The 21,198-nt window shown below is 40.2% G+C and overlaps 1 protein-coding gene across 13 annotated transcripts in view; it reads left to right on the top strand.

The window, feature by feature from the left end:
- GCNT4 (glucosaminyl (N-acetyl) transferase 4) overlaps window positions 1-13,839 on the top strand; it is a 37,092-nt gene extending 23,253 nt beyond the window's left edge. For 12 of the 13 annotated variants that reach the window (XM_047417280.1, XM_047417272.1, XM_047417276.1 and 9 more), the window contains one exon: window positions 770-5,462. In XM_047417280.1, the coding sequence (XP_047273236.1) occupies window positions 771-2,132 (1,362 nt within the window). In that variant the 5' untranslated portion in view covers window position 770 and the 3' untranslated portion in view covers window positions 2,133-5,462. Of the gene's footprint in view, window positions 1-769; window positions 5,463-13,265 lie in introns of those variants that run through there. The other variant, XR_007058605.1, reaches the window with a different exon arrangement.
- The last annotated feature ends 7,359 nt before the right edge of the window (window positions 13,840-21,198 follow it).

Genomic DNA, 21,198 nt, shown 5'->3' with positions numbered 1-21,198 from the left:
ACACGGGATCTTCAGGGTGGGTACATTTAAAACTGACAAGTATTGCCAAATTGCCCCCCAACGTAGTTTTTACACCCCACCTACTACTCTCAGTGAAAAATCAGGCCCTTTTTATTTTAAGGGCTAAATTGCTAATCCCTGTGTGAAAATGGGTGTTAACAAAATAAAAAATAAGGAAAATATGCAGGCTTACCCAATTTTGTTATCTATACATTTTACAGTCTCTAATACTTAGCATAGCTCCTTTGGGTGTCTGCCCACCACCCTTCTTTCTGAACGTGGGGTTCCCTGGGCTTTCCTTGTTTGACTTCAGACCTGGATCTAATAGGGATCTGGAGGTAGAATCAAGACGAATGTTCCCTTTGGCCTTAGGTGAGTCCTTTGCATCTCTGAGGCCCTGTTGATGACATCCAGTTCTCTAGACCTCTGCCCAAACCAGAGCAATCCCTCCTCAAATATGCTAAGCAGAAATGCAGACAATATAAGACACACTATATTTATATTTTAGGAGTTTACATTACCTTCCCTTCTGTTTGGAAACCAACATCTCTCAAAATTAGGTATAGTTAACACAGAATACCCCAAAATACCACCATTCTTCATAATTCCATTTCCTTATTTCTGGATTCTTTCAAGGGTAAAAACCTTGTTTCATTCATCTTTGGGGCAGCATTTGCCTAGTATGTGGTAGGCGCCCAGTAGATTTTGGATAAACTGACCTGATTTTCTGTTAATATTCCAACTGGATTATTTCTTTCTCCTCTTACAGAATGAAGATATTCAAATGTTATTTTAAACATACCCTACAGCAGAAAGTTTTCATCCTGTTTTTAACCCTATGGCTGCTCTCTTTGTTAAAGCTTCTAAATGTGAGACGACTCTTTCCGCAAAAAGACATTTACTTGGTTGAGTACTCCCTAAGTACCTCGCCTTTTGTAAGAAACAGATACACTCATGTTAAGGATGAAGTCAGGTATGAAGTTAACTGTTCGGGTATCTATGAACAGGAGCCTTTGGAAATTGGAAAGAGTCTGGAAATAAGAAGAAGGGACATCATTGACTTGGAGGATGATGATGTTGTGGCAATGACCAGTGATTGTGACATTTATCAGACTCTAAGAGGTTATGCTCAAAAGCTTGTCTCAAAGGAGGAGAAAAGCTTCCCAATAGCCTATTCTTTGGTTGTCCACAAAGATGCAATTATGGTTGAAAGGCTTATCCATGCTATATACAACCAGCACAATATTTACTGCATCCATTATGATCGTAAGGCACCTGATACCTTCAAAGTTGCCATGAACAATTTAGCTAAGTGCTTCTCCAATATTTTCATTGCTTCCAAATTAGAGGCTGTGGAATATGCCCACATTTCCAGACTCCAGGCTGATTTAAATTGCTTGTCGGACCTTCTGAAGTCTTCAATCCAGTGGAAATATGTTATCAACTTGTGTGGGCAAGATTTTCCCCTGAAGTCAAATTTTGAATTGGTGTCAGAGTTGAAAAAACTCAATGGAGCAAATATGTTGGAGACGGTGAAACCCCCAAACAGTAAATTGGAAAGATTCACTTACCATCATGAACTTAGACGGGTGCCTTATGAATATGTGAAGCTACCAATAAGGACAAACATCTCCAAGGAAGCACCCCCCCATAACATTCAGATATTTGTTGGCAGTGCTTATTTTGTTTTAAGTCAAGCATTTGTTAAATATATTTTCAACAACTCCATCGTTCAAGACTTTTTTGCCTGGTCTAAAGACACATACTCTCCTGATGAGCACTTTTGGGCTACCTTGATTCGGGTTCCAGGAATACCTGGGGAGATTTCCAGATCAGCCCAGGATGTGTCTGATCTGCAGAGTAAGACTCGCCTTGTCAAGTGGAATTACTATGAAGGCTTTTTCTATCCCAGTTGTACTGGATCTCACCTTCGAAGCGTGTGTATTTATGGAGCTGCAGAATTAAGGTGGCTTATCAAAGATGGACATTGGTTTGCTAATAAATTTGATTCTAAGGTGGACCCTATCTTGATTAAATGCTTGGCAGAAAAGCTTGAAGAACAGCAGAGAGACTGGATCACTTTGCCCTCAGAAAAGTTATTTATGGATAGAAATCTCACTACCACATCATGATAGTAAAATCAGGATGGAAATAAGAGGGTGCCTGATAAATGGAGTCAGTGTGGAATTGAATACCATACTATGCCCAATACTGTTTAAACTCAGTCCTCCCATATTTTAAAAGGTGTCCAAAATTCCATACACAAGGGAAAGTGATCTAGCCTTTGATGTTATTAGCCTGCAGTTGGCTAGGTTTTTTTAATATTTGTTTTTGCTTGTAATCTCACTGAGCCAAATCAGAGATCTTAAACATTCAGTCAGTCATCAAACATTATTGAGCACCTAACTATATGACAGGCACTTTTTTAGAGACTGCGGCTTATCCTCATCATAGCAACCTCGGTATCTTTAAGTTCTCCACATAACAGTCAGGATTCTACTGAAGAAGCTTTTGAAGTTTGTGGTAATCGTCTGATCATATAAACCACCCATTTCAGAGTAGTGTTTAAGTACTGTGACCAACACTCCACTTGTCTCTTAACTCAGCTTTCAAGACATTTCTTAACCATCAGAGCAGAGGAGGAAAGACTCACTACCTCAGAAAAATCTCAAAGAATAGTCCAATTTCCTGCTTGCCAAAGCATAATCTGCCTTTTGGTGCATTACTTGGTCAATTCAGGGTTGAGGAGACTGTTGGGGGGCATTTATAATGTATGAAAGTTAAGGAAGGGGGTGAGGATGTGGGTTGGGACAGGTAGTACCTAAAGAGGAGCGAAGGGATTTATACAACATTTTTATCATGTTACAAAACAGTATCATGAATGGCCTCCTTTTTAGTTCAACTGTTTCTTTAAAATGCATTTACTGATTAAAAATAAGAACTGACCAATAGCTCCAAGTGTCACACACCAGAACATTAAGCCTAAGTCCTCAATTCATAAGTTATCATTCTAGATAAGTTTCTTTACAATGGAATACTTTCTGTGGAATCATTATAATTCTGTTGTATGGAACTATCAAGCTAAGAGTCACTAAACTTTCTTCAAAAGGTTGTGTGAAATATGACAGCTTTCTAAATTAATTTGTATAGTCATTTAAAATTTTTTCTTCTCTGGCAACTGTCCAACTGGAATCCAGATTTAAAGTGATAAAAGCTCTAAGTTTCTTGCAGTCTTTTTCTCAGCTTAGTTCCAGAGAGAAAAAAGCTAATTTTCCTAAGGACACAGCAAGAATATTCATTAAGGATATTTTCTAAAACCCACACTTGAGAAAACCACCCAATGAGTCAAAAATATATATATATAATATATATTTTATATATATGTAATATATATTTATGTTATATATTATATATAGAACAATTCCATTACATATATAATATATAAATATATATATTATATATACATATATTGTATATGAATATATATTATATATACATATAATTATATATATATAAATATATATTATATAACATATAATGAATATATATTATATATATAATGGAATTGTTCTGGAAGTAAAATGGGGTAGGAATGGGGTTCTGAGAATAGGCAATAACATTTTCACCAGTCTCTTGGGAAATTGTAGAACTCATGTAAAAATTTCTTGGTCATGATATGTCTCAATGGCAGCCTCAGTAAATAAAAATGTAGCCTCAGATATTATATTTAAAGATGTAGTAAATCTAGCCCAAAATAGGACAATTTGGAAGATTTAAGTATTACATATTTTTTAAATGTCTGTGTTCTAAATGTGAAATGCACTTTGCTCATTTTAAAGTTCATAATACTAACTGCCAACTGACACCACTTCTCGCTCCCTTTCTTCTCTTGAACTCATTTTTCTCCCTTTTTATTTACCCCCTTCAAATTACTTCATTCTTTGGAAATAACTATTACCAAGCCCCATTCTTCAAAATAAGTAAACATTGTATAGAGCCAAGTTCTGCAAAAGATCCATACCAGTTCACTCGTGTGCGACTGTGGACAGGTAAGTCACTTTGGTCTCTATGAACCTCAGTTTTCCAGATCTTTGAAATGAGCACTTGGATGCCTATCCTTGCTTCCACACAAGTGTTTTTTTTTTTTTTTTTTTTTTTTTGTGAGAATCGATTGAAATAGTATATGAAGTGGTTTGAAAATAGGTACAAACTATTGACATTTCAATGTCAGAGAGTGATACCTGTAGTAGTATAGGCAAAGGTCCAACCCCATCGAAAGGCTTAAACATTTACCTTTTCTGAAAAACTATTGAAATATAAAGAGAGTCCCCAGTCACAGGGGCAACTTCTGTAACCAAATCCAGATCTGAGGAAACTCCTGTAACCCCATTTGGGGTTTCTTTCTAAGCCAATAGGGTTACAGGTTGGTACAGTGACACATTGAGAATGGGGCTACAAATACTTTTCCCACCATCTAGGATGAAATACACGAAATCCTGTTGAAATCTTGGTTTTTATGCCTTTGCTCATCAGAATAAACGTAAATGCTGAAAAACAAATAACCTCCTGATCCACTGTCTTGCCTCCTGGTGAGAAATGATTCTATCCCCTGTTTATTGGGAAATTTCCAAAGTTGTTCATCACTTAAATGCCGTATTCAAAGGGAACATGGAAGGATGAAGCGGAGAAAGTGCCTTCGAGACATTCACACATTTCTCTGGACTCAGTCTGTTAACATATCAGGGAGCTTGTCAGATCACACCTTTTTGCCTTGGAAATCCTACAGATTTCCTGTACGCCTTCATATCTGATTCTTCCCTAAAACCTTTGGGTATGATTTCCTCCCTGGTCTTGATAATGTCCTGCAGTCTGTGTTTTATAATTATTCTTTGTATTTATTGAATCTAGACTTTAAGTTATTCAGAGATCAGACCAGAACCTTAGAGTTTCTAAACTGTATGTGGATATTAAATAATATTAATAATGAAAGAGCTACCAAAATAGTCTATATTGTGTGAACAATCTCTTGGGATATTAGACGTGTTTAAAGACCAGTGTTGCTGCTATTTTTAATATTTTGGTTAATTTAAGTGAAATGTACATATTTTAATTTGAAGATTTATCTTGCCCATCAGAATGTGAAGATATACTTGCATATATTTTGACATATTTCATGGAAAATAAAAATGATAATCCACTTTGTGAGTGTAAGTGAATGTATTCATATGTATGTTATTATAAATGATTTTTGTTTGCACTGATGATGAAATGAGAGTTTTGGGGGCTTTTTATACATTTATATCGACTGGTCTCTAAATCTCCTATTTTGTTTTCTTATCATTTTTGAAATACAGTTCCCATTACATGAGTTTTAAATAGATTGGTGTTTCATTTTGTATTATGCTACTACTAGATGTTGATTCTCTGGTATTGTAAAATAAAATGTGCTCCAAAAACCCAAACCCTTGGACTTTATGAGCTTTCCTTTCTCTGGTTTTGCTGATTCCCCACAAAGATTCTTTCAGTTTATGGCACTTGCCCCTTATTTAAAGAGCAGAGTTTATTTCACTTCAGTGTAAAAGAAATTCAGCATGTGTATTATACACAATATAGGCACATGAACTTAAGCCATTTAATTTGGTAAAGTCTCAAAGAGTCTTCCAGGATTTACCTGTCTTCCTCCTACTTCAGGTTGGTTTCTCCTGTAAGATTAATAAGATAAATACTCTTGTTTGCTTGATTACTTTATGGAAGTAGTTTTCAATAGGGTAGGTTGAACTTTTTATCTCAGGTCCCTCACTTCCTGGAAAATCAATATTCTTCCCTTTCTACCTTTTTTTTTTTTTTTTTTTTTTTTGAGATGGAGTCTCGCACTGTCACCCAGACTAGAGTGCAGTGGTGCGATCTCGGCTCACTGCAACCTCCGCCTCCCGGGATCAAGCAATTCTCCTGCCTCAGCCTCCCAAGTAACTGGGATTACAGGTGCCCGCCACCATGCCCAACTAATTTTTTGTATTTTTAGTAGAGACAGGGTTTCACTATGTTGGCCAGGCTGGTCTCAAACTCCTGACCTCGTGATCCTCCCAAAGTGCTGGGATTACAGGCATAAGCCAAGGCACCCAGCCAAGATTCTTCCCTTTCTTTGAAGGACTCCTGCCTTGGTTGTGAGCACGCAGACACCCCCAGTGTCCCCAGGCCTTGCTGGTGGAGGATTCCTGATGAGCTTCTGCTCTGTTCTCCCAGCTCTACTGAGCTGAGTATTTGTTATCATCAACCCCCACCCGCTGAGAAGCTCCCTGGCCATTTTTCTTTCACCATTTCTAAACCCATAACAGTCACCAGCCTACCCAGTATGTAGATATGCCAGGGGTTTGCATATTTCACTCACAAATCTCAATCCATCTCAAGGAATTTGGGGCATTTGGGGAATCTTCAACCTAAAAAAATAAACACTATACTCAACCTAAGGTTAATTCTAGCTCTTACCAAGCTGGACAACTGTGCAAATTCACAGTAATTTCAGGAACAGGGGACTATTTTTTGGTGCCAGTGGTGGTGAGGCAGGTCTATACACAGCATCATATTAAAGACTGATTTGATTCCTACATAAGTTTCATATTTTTTTGTTCCCATTGGCACCTACAAATCTACACCTAAATTGGGACAATTGGCTTCTAGTTACATGAAACTGATTATGAGGAAACTGTGGCAAGAGAGAATGAATAGATGATTGTAAATTTGTTCTCAGTACTGGAAAAAAAATCTGGTGATGCAAAACAAACGGCTTCAGAGACAGATGATCAGGGTGTTAACCCACGTGGACACACCAAAGCCACAGGAAGACTCTTCATCGGGCCTTACATACAACCTTCCCACAGAGCAGCAAAGCACGCCCTCCTGGAGCACCCTCGGTTGAATCATGCATAAGACAAACAGCCAGAAAAGAATCTCAGGGAAAATCATGGCCAGGAACCTGGGTAAATTTATTTTTTTGTTCTTCTTGTTTCTTGTTTTGTTCTTTGTTGTTTCTCATAGAACAATAAAGGAAATTAAACAGAAACCACGTATATTCATAATTCTAACATCCTGACAAAAGCATTATAGTTCTCTGAATGCTCTTATCTACATACACGTGTTTTGACATTTGCCCGCACTGCCAATATTTTTACAATCACTCTGCCATGTTGCTACATGGTCTTTATGGCTATGTAATGGTCATACCACAATTCACTCAGCCTCTACTTTACTGTAGGACATTTGAATTGTAAACTACTTTTTTTTTTTGCTGTCATAAATAACAGTGCTATGAACAGTGTTGTTCGTACAGCTTCTCCTTGAATTACTTCCTTATGATGCATTTCCATGAGAGAAATTATAATCCTGAAGAGAATGGAGTTTTTAATTGATTGTTTTTCATGTATGTTTGTTATAAATCAACTTCTCAGAAACTGTGCAGGATGCTTGGTTGATGTATACAACTACAGCCTCTACTTATGTGAAATTGTATTCATTTATTCTGATAAATGGCTCTTCAGATTCTCAAAGTAAGCCAAGACTTTTGCCTAAAACAAGGAAGTAGTTTTTCCTCTAGCAGATAAAAGATGGTGTTTTAATGCATGGGTAGTAAAGAGCTATTTCAGAATAATGTTCTTAAAGGCTTAACTTTGATGACTGACTCCATTCCAGGAAGGATCTAGAAGTTGCTAGTTCCTTCTAATATCCATTCTTTCTGGCATCCCTGGTTATATTCTGAGCAACAATGTGACCAGCTGTTAATTCCCAGCTTCCCTTTCAACTATGGGGTGGTGGGCAAATGAGTTTAAAGCCTAAGTCACTGGGTGGGACATCTGAGAGTGCGCTTGGAAGGTAATTTACCTAGCTTGCCTTCTCCCCATCTCTCTTGCTTTTTCCTGTGCCTAGAATGTTTGTTATAGCTGAAATTTCAGCAACCATTTTAAAACCATGAGGATGGGAGTTATATGGCAGGGACAGAGTGAAAATATGACATCTGAATCATCCAAGACTACCTACCTGCAGTCTCCTTTTATGTAAGGAAAAACTTGGTATGTGCTTTAAGCCACTGTCATCTCAAGTCTCTATTACTAACAGCTGGACATGATCCCTAACTTACACAATGTTTGTCTAGGACACTGGTTTTCAAACTCCAGTCTGCATCAGAATCATCTGGAGGCCTTCTAAAACACAGATTGCTCCCCGCCTTTCCCTCTTTCTCATTAAAGGGGAGGGAGATTTGCATTTCTAACAAGTTCCTAAGTGAGATTGATGCTGTTCTAAACTATGCTTTGAGAACCACTGTTAGGATATCTTTCCTGAACATTATTTCAACATTGCAAGCATTAGGCTGATTTTAATATTTAGAAACCACCAAATTTTGCAATAAGCATACATACCTCTTGATCCTAAGACACTATAGTTAAAAGTTCAGAAATATTTTATATGCTGTTTTATATGCTTTCTCTACATTGTTGAAGAGGTAGCTATCTATATTTTTAAAATAATGACCAAATTTGATGCATTTCTGTAACTATAGGTCCTCCTAAAATTGTTTTCAACCGCATGGCTGCCATACTTGTAACTATTTTATAAAATACAATGAAAAACAAATGAATTTTGGAGGGTGTGAGTAACCTGAAATCATGGGGGTGAAATCTCGAGTTCAGACGTATGTGTAATTCTATAAAACAAAGATGTATGCTAGTGAGATGGCCTCTACCCAGCTAAGAAAAAATTTCCATGGGAAAAAAATTATGAACTCTAAGGAGAATACAAAGTGGTGCAGGTGTAGCTTGGCTAGAGATAGAGTTTACATACTCAGGATCGTGTAAATGTTAAATATTGACCTAATCAATGCTACTGATATAATTTACAGGCAACATGAGGGGATAGAAAGGATGAATATGTTGGGTAGGAGTGTGGGTGGGTGTGAAAGACATCAAAATCATCTCAATGATCGGACTAGGTAGACAATGCCTGTAACTGAAAAACCAAATAGAGGAATAGAAAGATGTCACTCCAATTTGTGGAAGCAAAACCAAAAGAACCACTTCAGAGAGTTACTAGTCACCTCCAAGGAAAGGAAAGGGGGAATGCTGATTCTGTTTTGCAACAAGCCTTGCAACCAGGTCTTTAAACTTTGAAATAAAAACTGGGGAAACAAATAATTAACTGGTAAGGAAAAAGACATGATCTGTGATCAGACTGCTTGTAATCTAATAGCTAGTGCAAAGAACCAGAAACCTTATAAGGGTGGCTAGTGTTTCTGTCTACTCAGCCCTTCTTCCATCCCAGAATCTTCAGAGCACAAAGAGCCCTCCTGGCTACTGAGGTGGTCACGTGACCCAAGCTGGGCCAATTACAGCCTCTCACAGCCAAGGCCACACTAATTGGTCTAAGGAGTGGGCGCCTGATCTAAACGGGGCTAATCAGGGCTCTTGGGACTTGTTAAATTCCTGCCAGAGAATAAGAACCTCTTGTTCCTTTTTCTTTTTTAATCACAAAACATAAGGATGTGGGCTTGCTAGCCCAGCACAGCTCTCTCTGTGTCCACACCCCACTACTTGGACAAGTTTGTATCAGCGAATTAATGTTCCAAAAGGAACAGGGAAGAGAAAGACAATGACAGAGGGGGTCCTCGAGATGTTCAAGGCAGTCAATCAATCATTGGTGACACCAGCTCCACCTGCCCTTAGGTTCATTTACACAGCCCAATTCAATCTCTCCTTTTTGTGTGTTTACACAAAATTAAATTAAAGTTCACTTATGGTCATAAAAACTACCTTGTAGTCATAATACACAGTGGAATACCAAACAAAACTTATGGAAAGTTTCAAGCAAACACAAACAGAGAGAGAGAAGAGCATGATGAATCCCAACATCCTCATCACTCAGACCCACTATTGTCAATATTTTGACAATCCTATTTCATCTATCCACCCCTTCACCCCATTTTCCCACAGAAATATTTTAAAATAATTCTAGATATCAAATTATTTTACTTGTTAATAATAGATTGAACCATATGAAACTGCTGTTTTTGTAGGTCAGAAGTGGTCAACTATTGGCAATATTCTGTGTTCTGACCTAATATTTCAACAGTGTCAGGTCCACGGCCACGACTATGCCAAATGTCCTGCTTGGGGTTAGATTCCAGCCTCAGCTGAGGTCTGAGGCAAGTGGGTGGATGGGCGAATAGCTGAAAGAACACTCGGGGGGCTGTAAGTAGGTGAAATGTAATTTTATTCAGCAGCTCTCTCATCAGCAGCTCTCTTACACTGTCCACCTGTCTGCTCTGGCTCTGTGGCTCCTGCCACTCCCATGCTTGCAGCTGCACTCCCTGGCCTGCAAGGCCAGCCACAGGGTCAGCAGCCTAACTCTTTCCCTCTGGGCACAAGCCAGTTCCTGGCTCCCCCTCTGTCTGCCTTCGAAGCAACTGGCTCTCCCTTACAGGGGTCCCCAGCATTACTCTCTCTCTGGGCAGCAGCACGCAAGCTGTGCCGTGCCATGCCGTGCCGTGCCATGCCAAACTGAGCCCCGTGCACAGCATCTGCAGGGCAGTTATACCTTCTACAGACAATAGGGGCTCAGAGCCAAGTATGAACTTACACAAACAGGTTATATAACAAGTGGAGTATGCACCTGTGCCCTAAACTCGCTGAGTCACTCTGGCCTGGATGTCCACCTCGGCCTATTCCTTGACCAAAGCACATCCATGTACCTTATGAGTCTCCTAACTGCCAAAAACTCTTTTTTCCTGACATAACCACTAAGCCATTATCACACCTAACAAAATTAAGAATAATTCCTTAATGTCTAACAGTGAAACCATTTTCAAAATTTTCCAACTGTATCATATGTGTCTTTGTATTCACCATTTGTTTAAATCAGGATCCAAACAAGGTCTACACATTAATTTAGTGAAAATAACTTTGTAAGTGATCTTACTCTCATTTAGCACTGTCACTTAAAAGGAACCTAGGCAACTAATATGGAATGGTGGACAATCTTCAATCAACAACATTTAGAAGAATTGTCTCAGCTCCTTGTGTATATTACTAAATATACATATATTGCATTAATATGTTATATATATAAAATCTTACAGATTCCAGGCATTGTGATTTTGCTTCACAGGTTTTCTGCATTTGCTTTTATGAAGTAATTGCCAGTATCATGCCAGGAAATGAGAAAGGGCCCCAGGGAGGCCAACAGATATGGCTGAGGTCACCAGCTAATAACTGTCAGAGCTGAGATTGGGATTTTAAGTTGTGTGGCTCCCAAGTCCAAGCTCTTCGTTGCTATACCCAACCTGTGCTTTTTGCGCTGGTCCTGGTGAGCATTAATATGCCAGACAAATGCCTATTAATATTTTATTCCACAAATGTCTCGGTCAGCTCAAGGTGCTGTAACAAATGCACCACAGGCTAGATGACTTAAACATTTATTTCTCACGCTTGTGGAAGCTGGGAAGTCTAAGAACAAGGTGCTGGCAGATCTGGTGTGTGGTTAGGGCTCTCTCCCTGGTTTGCAGGTGGCTGTCTTCTCATTATATCCTCGTATGTCTGAGAGCAGAGATTGAGAGCAAGCTTCTGTGTCTCTTCTTATAAGGGCACTAATCCCATTTATGGGAGCTCTACCCTTATGACCTAATTGCCTCTCAAAGGCTCTATCTCCTCTTATGAGCACATTGGGGGTTAGGATTTCAACATACGAATTTGGGGGAGGGAAGACACAAACATTCAGTCTATAGCAACAAAGTACTGAGATCTTGTAGGAAAGGAGCTTATAAAAGTAAGCCAGGATTGAGGAATTGCATCCCTGTGACTCAGGGGAGTCAGTATGTAGGACCACCCTCTGCACTTCCTCTCTCTCGTCATCCTCCCTCTGCATCCCCAGCCCTCCCTGTGGTGCTTCTCTTCCCCTGACCTGGCTTGGCCTCTGGTCTTCCTCCCCTCACTTCCTTACTCCTAATGTTCATTCCTTTTGCCTCTTGCTTTATCTGCTTTTCCACTCAAGTTTTTTAAACTGAACCCTAGCCTGCAAACTAACCTCAACTCTGGTGGATGTTCATTTATAGCATTTTTTGCTCTGGTCAATCCAGACTAATTAAACCAGTACTGGTATTTCAGACTGAAGAGTTCAATCCCCTTCCCCTGTCAGAAGATCTAATTCACTCCACTTAAAACATGTTACTGGTGGCTCACACCTGTAATCCCAGCACTTTGGGGGGGATCACGAGGTCAGAAGTTCAAGACCAGCCAAGGTGGCAGGTCACGAGGTCAGGAGTTTGAGACCAGCCTGACCAAAATGGTGAAACCCCGTCTCTACTAAAAATACAAAAATTAGCTGGGCGTGGTGGCACAAGCCTGTAATCACAGCTACTCAGGAGGCTGAGGCAGGAGAATCGCTTGAACCCACGAGGCGGAAGTTGCAGTGAGCCGAGATCATGCCACTGCACTCTAGCCTGGGCAACAGAGTGAGACTCCATCTCAAAAAAATAAATCAATAAAAATAAAAAATAAACATGTTACCCCCGGTGACTCACAGCAGGCACAACATCTATGCTGAGTTGTAAGTTTCTCTGCTTTTATCATGTGGTCATCACCTGGCTCACGTAGCAGTTCCCAGGGAGATGTCTGCTTCAAGAGAACAACAATAATTGGAGAGATAGGAGGATCATCTTGGCAGCACTTCACAAACTTTAACGGGCATAGAAATCTTACTTGTGGGTCTTTTAAAATGAAAGTTCTGATTTGGTATTTCTGGGATTGGGCCTGAGTTGCTGCATTTCTAACAAGCTCCCTGGTGGTGTCAGTGCTGCTGGTCCATAGACCCACCCCTCTTTAACATGCAAGAATCTAGATCACTGGTTCTCAGCACCTGCTACACATTAAAACCCTCTATGATGCTTTTTATTAGGATAAGCTTAGGTGCAGGGATTCATAGGAGCTCCCAGGGGATTCTAATGAATAATCAGTGAAAACCACCACATTGGAGGCTGTAGTGGCAGCAGGAATTGGGTGGCCAGCAGAGAGATTCCTGGCGGGCGGAAGGTGCGGCATGGTCACGGGAAAGTGGAGGTCCTGGCTCCGGAGGGTCTTTGTTCTTCTGCATGCCCTGCCTCCCTTCGCTGTCCCTCACCTTTGCTCTCCCTTTTCTCTATTGTCCCTACAAATCCACCCCCTTCCTAAAGCATCTTCTCAACAAGAAAAAAAGCTGAACCAACTGAAAACCAATACTTTTCTTAGATCCATCAGAAAATTGAAGTCACAGGACAAACCTCACTCTGAAAATTGGAGACACAGGCAAATAAAGAGGATCCCAACTTACCAAGAGTAGAAGCCCACATCTGGAGCACACAGGTAGGAACACCGAAACTGAAATTGAAAATTTCTGAATGCTCACTGTGGGCAGTGTTGAGTTAAAAATTCCAGATGCCCCAGTTCTAGGGACACACCCCAGCTTTTGTTTTATCTTGAGGGGCCCCACCAAATTCTCAGGGTGAAGACTGGAGAAAAATTTCTTCATGCTTCCAATGGAGGGGAAAAAAGCTGTGGCTTCCAGGAAATAAATCTGAAAAAGATGTTGGGATTCAAAAACAACTGTAAATCTGAGCAAGCATGCAGTTCAGCACACAATCAGTGATGATGAGTTATTAGATGCTAGGCATCACGCTAGGTGCTGAGGATTGAGGATGAGTAAGACTGGCTCCCTCTCCTCCAGGAACTCTAGTCTAGTGGGAAATGCATATGTGCAAACAACTATGTCAGAGATTAATTGTTACTGCTCCTCATGTCTCATCTCTCCTTCTTTCATAATAATAGAACCCTCCTTTTAAGCTGAGCGTGTGCGTCTCAGCATAAAGAGTACATATCCCAGCCTCTCTTGCAAGGCAGGTGTCATCATGTAAGAATCATTGGCCAATGGGATGTAGTAGAAGTTTTTTGTGCAACTTTCTGAGACATGTTCTTAAAATAAGGGATGTCCCAGTGCTAACCCCCGGTAACTGTGGATATAACCTTAGTTGGGGAAAGGGTCATGCAGATATAATTAAATCAAGGATTTCAAGAAGAGATCATCCTGGATACAAAGGGTGGCAGCTCTTCTCCTTTTTCTTTCTGCTGGCTGAAAAGCAAATATCTTGGATAATGAGGTAGAAACCTCAACCAAAACCCTGGGTTTCTGATTATTATAAAGTCACTATACCAGCCTGTATATATGTAACTCTAAAGAGACACAGCTTGATACACTTGGTATACTTGAGCCATTTGCATGCATTCTTTCATTCCACAAGTATCTTGTGAGGGCCTTATATGCTAGGCACTGGGCATACAGCAGCAAAATACAGCCACAGAACATGCCCTTAAAGCCAGCTTTTTTATTTTTTGTAATTTAACAAAATACAAAAATTTTATTTTGATATAATTTCAGATTCCACATTGAAATTTTATTTATTTTTTAATTTCCAACTTTTATTTTAAGTTCAGGGGTACATAATATGCAGGATGTGCAGGTTTGTTACATGAGTAAATGTATGCCATGGTGGTTTACTGCACAGATCTTCCCATCACGCAGGTATTAAGCCCAGCATCCATTAGCTTTTCTTCCTGATCCCTCTCCCTCTTCCCACCCACCCACCCACCCCCCACCCTCCAATAGGCCCCAGTGTGTATTGTTCCCTCCCCACCTCCGTGTGTTCTCATCATTTAGTTCCCACTTATAAGTGAGAACATGCGGTATTTGGTTTTCTGTTCCTGCATTAGTTTGCTAAGGGTAATGACCTCTAGCTCCACCCATGTCCCTGCAAAGGACATAATCTCATTCCTTTTTATGACTGCATAGTAGTCCGTGATATATGTACCACATTTTCTCTATCCAGTCTATCACTGATGGGCATTTAGGTTGATTCCATGTATTTGCTATTGTGAATAGTGCTGCAATGAACATACACATGCATGTGTCTTTATAATAGAATGATTTATATTTCTTTGGATATATACCCAGTAATGGGAATACTGGATTGAATGGTATTTCTGCCTCTGTGATCTTTGAGGAATCCCCACACTGGCTTCCACAATGGTTGAACTAATTTACACTCCCACCAACAGTGAAAAGCATTCCTTTTACTCCACAACCTTACCAGCAGCTGTTGTTTTTTGGCTTTTTAATAATCACCATTCTGACTGGTGTGAGATGGTATCTCATTGTGGTTTTGATTTGCATTTCTCTAATGATCAGTGATGTTGAGCTCTTTTTCATATGTTTGTTGGCTGCATATTTGTCTTCTTTTGAGAAGTGTCTGTTCCTGTCCTTTGTCCACTTTTTAATGGGGTTGTTTTTTTCTTGCAAATTTGTTTAAGTTCCTTACAGATATTGGATATTAGACCTTTGTCAGATGAATAGATTGCGAAAATTTTCTCCCATTCTGTAGGCTGTGTGTTTACACTGTTGATGGTTTCTTTTGCTGTGCAGAAGCTCTTTAGTTTAATTAGATCCCATCTGTCAATTTTTGCTTTTGTTGCAATGGCTTTTGATGTCTCCGTCATGACATTTTTGACTGTGCCTATGTCCTGAATAGTATTGCCTAGGTTTCCTTCTAGGGTTTTTATGGTTTAGGGTTTTACATTTAAGTCTTTAATCCATCTTGAGTTGATTTTTTTATATAGTATAAGGAAGGGGTCCAGTTTCAATTTTCTGCATATGGCCAGCCAGTTCTCCCAGCATTATTTATTAAATAGGGAATCCTTTCCCCATTGCTTGTGTTTGTCAAGTTTGTCAAAGATCAGATGCTTGTAGGTGTGCAGTCTTATTTCTGGGTTCTCTATTGTTTTCCATTGGTCTATATGTCTGTTTTTGTACCAGTACCATGCTGTTTTGGTTACTGCAGCCTTGTAGTATAGTTTGAAGTCAGGTAGAAGGATGCCTCCAGCTTTGTTCTTTTTGCTGAGGATTGCCTTGGCTATTTGGGCTCTTTTTTGGTTCCATTTGAATTTTAAAATAGTTTTTCCTAATTCTTTGAAGAATGGCAATGGTAGTTTAATGGGAATAGCATTGAATCTCTAAATTGCTTTGGGCAGTATGGCCATTTTAATGATATTGATTCTTCCTATCCATGACTGTGGAATGTTTTTCCATCTGTTTGTGTCATGTCTGATTTCTTTGAGCAGTGGTTTGTGGTTCTCCTCAAAGAAGTCCTTCACTTCCTTTGTTATCTATATTCCTAGATATTTTATTCTTTTTGTGGCAGTTGTGAATGGGAGTTCATTTGTGATTTGGCTCTTGGTTTGCCTGTTGTTGGTGTGTAGGAATGCTAGCGATTTTTGCACATTGATTTTCTAAACTGAGACTTTGCTGATGTTGCTTACCAGCTTAAGAAACTTTTGGGCTGACATAATGGGGTTTTCTAGATATAGGATCATGTCGTCTGCAAACAAAGATAGTTTGACTTCCTCTCTTCCTATTTGAATATGCTTTATTTATTTCTGTTTGCCTGAGTGCCCTGGCCAGAACTTCCAATATTATGTTGAATAGGAGTGATGAGAGAGGGCAACCTTGTCTTGTGCTGGTTTTCAAGGGGAATGCTTCTAGCTTTTGCCCATTCAGTATGATATTGGCTGTGGGTTTGTTATATATGGCACCTATTATTCTGAGGCATGTTCCTTCAATACGTAGTTTATTGAAAAAACAAATTTTTTTTGAGACGAAGTCTTGCTCTTGTCGCCCAGGCTGGAGTGCAATGGCATGATCTCAGCTCACTGCAACCTCCACCTCCGGGGTTCAAGAAATTCTCCTGCCTCAGCCTCCCGAGTAGCTGGGATTACAGGTGCCTGCCACCATGCCTGGCTAATTTTTGTATTTTTAGTAAAGACAGGGTTTCACCATGTTGGCCAGGCTGGTCTCAAACTCCTGACCTCAGGTGATCCGCCCGCCTCAGCCTCCCAAAGTTCTGGGATTACAGGCATGAGCCACCGCACCCGGCCATTGAAAGTTTTTAACATGAAGGGATGTTGAATTTAACAAAGGCCTTTTCTGCAGCTATTGAGATAATCATGCAGTTTTTATCTTTAGTTCTGTTTATGTGATGAACCACATTTATTGATTTGCATATGTTGAACCAGCCTTGCATCCTGGGGTTGAAGCCTACTTGATCATGGTGGATAAGATTTTTGATGTGCTGCTGGATTTGGTTTGCCAGTATTTTGTTGAGGATTTTGCATCAATGTTTATCAAGAATATTGGCCTAAAGTTTTTTGTTGTTGTATCTCTGCCAGGTTTTGGTACCAGGATGATGCTAAAGCCAATTTTTTCTGTTTCTCTTACGAGCCAAGTTATTTTCTAACTCAGAGCCTTTGTCCATGCTGTTCTCTCTGTCTAGGGCAGCACTGTTCAGTAGAACTGCCTGCCATGATGGAAGTGTTCTACGTCTGTGCTGTCCAATATGGCAGCACAGACATGTAACTACTGAGTACTTGAAATGTGGCTAGTGTGACTGAGGCATTGATTTTTTATTTTATTTTAATTAATTTAGATTAATTAATGTGGCTCTACTCTACTGCTTTCCCCAAATGGCTAACTCCTTGAGGTGGCTATGGACCATGAACATAAATTCTTTGACATGCCTCCAGTTGAGAGATGGGGTCTCTATCCCTTCTCCTTGAATCTGGGTGGGCTTGTGACTGAATGGTGGTAGTGACATTATGTGACTTCCAAGGCTAGGTAAGACAAAGCCTTGCAGCTTCTGCCTTGGGCTCTTGAAGGTCATACTCTTGGGGCACTTGCCCCCAGGAAGCTGCATCTCAGAACCCAGCCACCCCACTGCGTGCAGCTGAAGCCACACAGGAGATCACATGTAGTTGCTGTATCCCAGCCTAGGCCTACCATAGAAACTACCACAAACCTGGTGGTTTAAAATATTCTCTTGCAGTTCTGGAGGCCAGAAGTGTGTATTCAAAGTGTTGGGAGGGGATAGCAGGTGCCATGCCCTCCTAGCTTCTGGTGGTAGCTGGCAATCTTTAACCTTCCTTATGCAGGGAATCAGAATATGCCACCCAAAACATGCCACTTAGGCATGAGGATAATTTTGAGCTGAAGGCAATTGAGACACAACAGATGCAAAAGGAGCTCTCTATTCTCCCTGTTTCTTCCTAAAGGCAGGGTACAAATTTCCCTTTCTGAAGGTGTTACAACCCACTGTCCCGCCCCCCACCCCACCCCTCCTGGTCCCGCACCGCGGCCATATCAGGAGGAGAACAACCGTTATCACCGGAGACAGAACATCAGACAGATTTCTGTCTGCACAAACAAACTTTATCTTCCATAAGTTTCCTCCATATATTTATCTTACCACAAATTACTGACCCTAGAAGCCCAAATCCCTTTTCCTGTCTTGTCACTTCTCAATAAACCCATTGCTGTTCGTTTAGATGGTAATGGTATATAAGCCTGAAATTCTATCCACCCCTTTTGAGTTATTTATCACTCAGTTCTTCTTCATGCATGCATGTTGTGCACATAAGTAAACTCTGTGTTTTTTTTCTCATGTTAACTAGTCTTCTCCAAGTTTGATTTGCAGGCCTCAGCTACTGAACCTAAGAGAGTAGAAGAGGTGTTTCCTCCCCCACACTTGGCTTATAGACATATTACTTCAATCTCCACCTCCACCTCTGTCTCCATATTGCCTTCTCCTCCATGTTTCTCCTCTACTCAAATATCCCTCTATTTTCTCTTAAGGACACCAGTTATTGGATTTAGGGCCTACCATCAATACAAGATGATCTTGAGAATCTTAATTTGATTACATCTACAGAGACCCTTTTTCCAAATAAGTATTTCACATTGACAGGTACCAGAGATTAGGAGTTGAACAGCAGGGCACAGTGGCTCATGCCTATAATCCCAGCACTTTGGGAGGCTGAGGCGGGCAGATCACCTGAGGTCAGGAGTTCGAGACCAGCCTGACCAACATGGAGAAACCCTGTCTCTACTAAAAATACAAAATTAGCTGGGTGTGTTGGCACATGCCTGTAGTCCCAGCTACTCGGGAGGCTGAGGCAGGAGAATTGCTTGAACCCGGGAGGCGGAGGTTGCAGTGAGCCAAGATCGCCCCATTGCACTCCAGCCTGGGCAACAAGAGCATAACTCCATCTCAAAAAAAAGGAGTTGAAAATATTATTTTGGAGTCACTATTTAGCCCACTATAGCACCTGAAATATGAGTGAGGAAGCCTGGAGTTGATTCCAGCCCCCAGCTGTTTGCATTACCCCTAGACATTCAAGTCTTCCTGGCTAAGACTCTAAACATTATAGAGCAGAGATATGCTATTTCCACCATGCCTCATTGAATTTCTGACCTAAAGAATGTTTTAGCATAATAAAATGGTATTGTTTTATGCCACTAAGTTTGGGACAGTTTATTATGCAACAATAGGTAACTGGAAATTCCTATTCATCTTTTAAGCTCAGTTCAAAAAACGTGTCTTCAAAGACATCTCCTTAGCTATCTCCTCTATGGTCTAAATTATATTTCCCTCTCTTTGCTTTTCTTTTATGACACTAATCACAATTTGTAATTATATATGCACTTAGGTGTTTTGTTTTGTTTTTTAAAATGTCAGTCACCCTCACTAGACTTCTGTTTCATGAGGGCAAGGACAAAGTTTGTTTTATTCAGCACAATGTCCTATGTGTGCCAGGTACACAGCAAATGCCCAGTAAATATTTGCTGAATGAATGAAATTCTGGTCTTTCTGTGACTGAATCTACAACTGACATTTCCTTGTCATCTGAACTGAGACAGCTCCTGGAAAACATTGTTTATTTTGCCATTTTAGCTTTCAGACTAAATAAGCTAGAATGCAACAAGTGGGAAGCAACATTTTCATTTTCTATGATTCAAACACTAGTTCTTGCTGTTCCAGTTCCCTGTATTAAGTAATTGCTGTAGTTTTCAATTGTAGTGAAAAGAAGTGAATACAAAGATAGCTAGGCTATGAGATAGCCTCTTCAATTTTTAAGAAAGCATCTGTAAGTATACAGAAAGAACCTCAAATTGTCCTTGTGCATGAGTAAGCAACAATCTCATGAAACATTCTTCCATGAAATGAAAGATTAATGACAAAACAAAACGAATAAGTTCTTCCTGATATCTTGATCAACAGACATCTTTTTCTAGAAAGTTCACTGATACAAGTCCCACTATTATTTTTGTTGGAACAATAACATATATAGGATATAAATTAAAAGGCAAAGCATGTTAAAGGAGGCCAAAATTAGTCAAATAAAACTTATAATTACTTGTACAAATTACCACAGGGATAGAGCATAACAGAAGCAGGAAGCAGGTAGGAATTTTAACAAAAGCTGAGCACCAGCAGTTGGCACTCCCCTGCATGGCTGTTACTCTTCTCACTGTGGTTGGTGTTGAACAAAGTATTCCTGCCCTCCCAGGCATATCCAGCTTGCACACAGTAGGAATTTTAACAAGATCTGGAAGGCCCTACATGATCACATTCTAACTGTGCTTTCTTAGATTCCGTATTTGTCTAACAGTATCAGACTAATAGCCAAAGTTATTTCCATTTTCCCTGTGATCCAGATCTCATACTCTGAACCACCTTCTTATCTAACTTGTACAAACCACACCAGGATTTTCCCTGCTTTAAATCACCCAGAGCCAGGTACCAGACAACTAAAGACAACCCCTATAGCCCAAAGCTCAGTGACATTACTTAAACTAGACATTCCTAAGCAGTCTCCCCTGCCTTGCCTTGCCTTACTTGCAAAAACACCAATAAAGGCTCTAAACTATGCTTTCCCCTTGCTCCTACCTCCTGACCACACCTATTGCTTCCCCAGGTGGCCCAGTGTGGCCTGGCCTGCCCCATCCTCTCCGAAACTATAAGTAATAAATTCTTCTTTCAATGGCATTAACCTCTCCAGGTTGTCACTCAGCCACCATAAATTAAAATCCTGCGGGTACAATTGAGACAGATCAGCCCTTAGGGGCTTTGTGGTCGCCGTTTCCTCTGCCCAGGCCTCTCTTCCCTCCGTATCCACGCTGTACCCACATGGCTTCCTCTCTCACTACATTGAAGTCTCTGCTCAAGTATCACCATATTTGAGAAGCCTTCCCCAAGCACCCTGCTAACTAACTAGAAACCCCTCCTACTTCTAATGGTCTCTA

Source organism: Homo sapiens, chromosome 5, assembly GCF_000001405.40.
Source record: "Homo sapiens chromosome 5, GRCh38.p14 Primary Assembly".
In the NCBI taxonomy this organism is placed as follows: Eukaryota; Metazoa; Chordata; class Mammalia; order Primates; family Hominidae; genus Homo; species Homo sapiens.
Note: the sequence above shows the minus strand (reverse complement) of the source record. Positions and strands in the feature narration are given on the sequence as shown.